A 4,935-nucleotide genomic window follows, 5' to 3' on the forward strand; every position below is an offset into this window, starting at 1 on the left:
GTTAATAGTTTCAAATTAATAGCTAGAAAGGAGAAATAGGTTCTGGTGTTGCATAGCACTATACGGTGACTACAATTAACAAGAATTTATTGTATATTTTCAAATAGTTAGAAGGGAGATGTTGAATGTTTCCAACACAAAGAAATGGTAAATGTTTGAGATGATGGATAGGATAATTAGCCTGATATAATTACACATGGTATACATGTATCAAAATGTCACACTGTACCCCATAAATAGGTACAATTGTTATATGTCAATTAAAAATAATAAAAGAAAAAAGGTTAAGGTAACTTTTTTTTAAGTAACCTAAGTACTTCACCAACTATAAGACAATGGTCAATTCTGGTAACTTCTCTGGGCCTTAGTTTCTCATCAGTAATATGGAACTAGTAACATTTATTTCTCAGGTAAATATATGTACCAAATGGAAGAACTGAAATCAATTAAGACATATAACAAAAACTAAACAAAATACTGCAATTTCTCTCTTATAAGGACATTGAAACTCAGATGTTAGAATATTTCTCCAAAATTTTGCTACAAATTAATTAAAGTGTCCAGGCTAAAAATTAGATTGTTTTTCTAGACTTTAGTAAAATGAGTTGTAAATAATACATGTATGTCTTTGTGACCTTTCACACACAGGGGAAGAAATGGGAAAGACAGGCAGACTGAAATCTGATGTCACTATCCATTTCCACGCTTCCAGCATTAAGAAAATGGCAGAATCTCTTGCACATGGAATTTCTACAGGGAGCCGTGAACCAGGATGTAGTCAAGGGGCTAATCTTCTAGGCTGTTCCATGCCTGCACAAAACACTCTCAGTACAGGACACTTTCTGTAACCAATTTTACCCGAGGCAGAGAACCACATGCATCCTTCCCAAGTGGCAATATTATCTCCACTTCACAAATGGGTCCCCTCTGGGATCTGATGTGAGCAAAGGAAATAATCAGGAACTACAGGGGAAAAAGAGGCTACTTTGAGATCTAATGTAAGCTCTTTTTCAGGAACTGTGAAGCATGCAATGCCATCATAATGTAAAAGGCATTAAACTGTCAGAGTGAAGATCCTGTCTTCAATCATGTAAAGTCCCTCAAGATTTCAATGTTCAATTTTGCGTTAAGAAATCTCCTGACCCTCTCCTCCAACCCAAAACAGAAAAGTTGCCTTAGAAAGGGGAACAAGTTGAAATATTTTAATAGACTGTGTGGTGCATTAAGATATATCAGGTAAAACTGCAAACCCTTTTTTAAAGTTACATAGATTTAAACCCAAATTCAATGAGTATTCCATAAGTAATTCCATAAGTAGTGTAGATGATCTATTATTTTGCTTAATAAGACAAAAAGTCAAAATCTATTGACAAGTTGTTGATAATCAATTGTCAGGATTTTCCTATTTCAGTCCCAGTGCTGGTTACTGCATAAAACTTATTGTTTAAGTAGGCTATGCAAATATCCTTAGGAATGGATATGTTTCCATATACATTCTGAAATTTGATAAATATGTTTTATTTTCCACTTTGAAGTGGAAAATGCACTGATAACCACTGTTTAGGGGGATCTAATTTTATATCTGATGGCATTTTAAAATCTAGAGACTCTTTATTAATAAAAGTTTACTGATAAAAAGCAAATGTTTTGTCTTCACAGATACAATGAAAACAACAACGGAGTAATACCTTCTTTTCCCCTTTTCATCCTTCCCTCTTTTTTTGCTGTCTTCTAGGAGCATCCTTATGAGAATCTGAGACCTAACTATTAAGATAAATGACTTTGCTGAACATGAATTCCCACAAACTCTCTCTGTGCTATATTCTTCTGCCTCTGGTTTCTCATTCTCTTAAAGGGCTCTATCGTCTATGGATGATGACAGAAAAATCACTCATAATTGCTGAGCCACAGGAAATGGGGTATAAAATTAATACTGCCTTGAAGGATCCAAATAGAATCCCTGCCACCTATAGGGGAAACCAAGAGTATTGTGTTCAATGACAATTTTTCAAATTTTGTAGATTTTGCATTCATGCTGAATTCAAAATGTCTGAATTTTGTCTCATTTACTTTATTAGTAAGAGCTCATTTAAAAAGATAAAACCCTGGTGTCCAGAACCTAAGGGAAATCAGAAAACACTAAATGAAAATTGTCCATGGATTTAATGATATGTTAAGCTATTCCGTCTTAAACATTGTAACAGATTCTTGTTAGAATCAAGAAGTAATTGAGCAAAAGTTTTGATTTTCACCTAAATTCATGGTGACGTAACCTGTGTTTATAGAGAAATATATTGTATCATAGACTGAAGTTTATAAGCCTACTTACTTAGAGTATCATGGAACAAAACAAAAGAATAACTACAAGGAGAAGAGCCATTAAAAAAGTTATATTTTTCAAGCCAAATAGTTTGCAGTCTATAAATGTGAACATATTCTAAGTACGGACATTTTCAAGTGCTTTTTGAAATAGTAAAAGCCAATTTAAGTGAAATCTTAGAATCTCAATAATTAAAACAATTAAAAGGGCAGATGCATTAATTAAAGTAGGTACCAGTGCTAAAGGCTCAACCTCTCCCTCACCCTGTAAGATTGCTTCTAGGCCAGACACGGTGGCTCACGCCTGTAATCCCAGCACTTTGGGAGGCCTAGGTGGGCAGATCACCTGAGGTCAGGAGTCCAAGACCAGCCTGGCCAATATGGCTAAACCCCATCTCTACAGAAATACAAAAATTAGCCAGGTGTGGTGGCAGATGCCTGTAATCCCAGCTACTAGGGAGGCTAAGGCAGGAGAATGGCTTGAACCCGGGAGGCAGAGGTTGCAATGAGCCGAGATGGCGCCATTGCACTCCAGCCTGGGTAACAGAGCAAGACTCCGTCTCAAAAAACAAAGATTGCTTCTAAAGCACCTCCATAAAAGCCTAGAAATCATCAATTAGAAGACCACTGTGTAAAGATCCTGAAGGCCTGAGTTCTAACACTGCATCTGCCACCAAGAACCTGAATGACATTGGACAGACCACTCAACGGCTGTGGCCTACTCTGTACAATAAAGGAGCTGGGTAGCCAATGACAACCTTCCAAGTCCAGTAGTCTGTAATTCTGAGAGTTGGAGCAGGGTTCACTTGTGTTCCCATTGCTTAGCAGGATTCAAATCTGTACATGATGTTAGCCAGCGCACTTTTGCTAACACTGTTTCAGTTTTCCCCCGCTTTGTCCCTCCTGAACTGACAGACTCAGGACTTGGCAGTGCACAGAGGTGGTTGCCGCACTGCTGTTCTTTTCACGTCGTTAACTATTTTCAAATGATGTGTAGTGGAGTCACTTAATCTAATCTTTCTGACCCCTGGTTTCTATTTGTGGTTTCTAGACAATTACAAAGTGTTCTTCTAAAACTCAGATTCTATGATTTGTTTGACATTCTCAAAGTTCGAGTTTTACTTCCTGTCTCTTACTTCAAAGAAAAATACAAGGTTTAAGAAACTCAACACTAATATAATTAGTGTTGGGCCCACAAACCTGAAGACCCTATAACTAAGTTGTTATTAGACCAGAGAATAACCCACTCCAGTCCATTAAATACATATGTAATTCATGTGGTTAAATTCATGTGGAAAATGCATGGTGCTAATATCCTCTAACCTTGATTGAGAAATCCATATACAAGGGTGGGATGAAAGAATCTCTAACTATACTGATTTTAAGTAACATCTCACATTGCAAAACCAAAAACAAAATTAAAAAACCCTAATAACTCCACAAGGAAACAATGGCTAAGATTCCCTATACAGGTTAGCACAAAAGAAAGCCGTTGAAAGAGGTGACACTGGCTGGGCACAGTGGCTCATGCCTATAATCCCAGCACTTTGGGAGGCTGAGGCGGGAGGATCACTTAAGCCCAGTAGTTCAAGACCAGCCTTGGTAACAAAGCAAGATTCCATTTCTACAGGAAAAAAAAAAAAATTTAATTAGCCAGGTGTGGTGGCACATACCTGTGGTCCTAGCTACTCCGGAGGCTGAGGTGGGAGGATTGCTTGAGCCCAGGAGGTCAAAGCTGCAGTGAGCCATGATCATGCCACTGTACTTCAGCCTAGGCAACAGAGTGAAACCCTGTCTCAAAAAAAAAAAAAAAAAAAAAAAAAAAAAGAGAGAGAGAGAGAGAGAGAAAGAGGAGACACTGCCTTCAACCTCCCCACCACAACCTGAATACAGCTTCCCTTAAACTTAAAGAGAATGGGGATGTCCTAAGAATATGATCTGTCCTAAAATTCAAAATAATGCTCATTTCCAATCTTCTCCTGAGTATTTGCATAGTTTTCAGGGTAATAGACTCAGTTTCTCATGTATTTTGTAAGCAGGAAATTCAAGGGCTTACCCTGGACCTGGAGGATGGAAAAAGCTAAGGTCAGGGAGAAATCACGCCTGAATCTACAACCATGCACCATTCAGGAGTCTGTGCAGATTGAACTGTGTTCCATAAAACATGTTTCTGCTTAATATGGATCTAGACACTACTGTTTTTGAAAATTAGTATTTGGGGAATGAGTGAGCTTTATGGGTACACATGTGTATTCTATTCAATAGTTACAAATTGAATGATGATGAAAAATTCTTAATCTCCATTTCTCTTGGAGAAATGAAGAGAATCAGATTGGAAGTTTCTAAATCCACTCTGGATGTTTCTACTGTACTAAGATTGCCAAGGCTCATCCTAGACCCTCCTGCCAAGCCTACTCCAATCCCTGCCACTGCATGTTACAGAAGACTTGAAGTCTCAAAGGTAGGAAAGTGGATTGCTTGGGTCCTGCTACCAGTAAGTAGAAAAAGATATCCTAGAGCAATATTGAGCCTCACAGAAGTGAAGAAACAGTACATAGAGTTCTCAAGAAAGAAGTGTTCTTTCCTATAAGAGGGTGGACACAAGGTCAGGGAGCA

The sequence above is a fragment of the Homo sapiens genome, chromosome 2 (genome assembly GCF_000001405.40).
Source record: "Homo sapiens chromosome 2, GRCh38.p14 Primary Assembly".
Classification (NCBI taxonomy): Eukaryota; Metazoa; Chordata; class Mammalia; order Primates; family Hominidae; genus Homo; species Homo sapiens.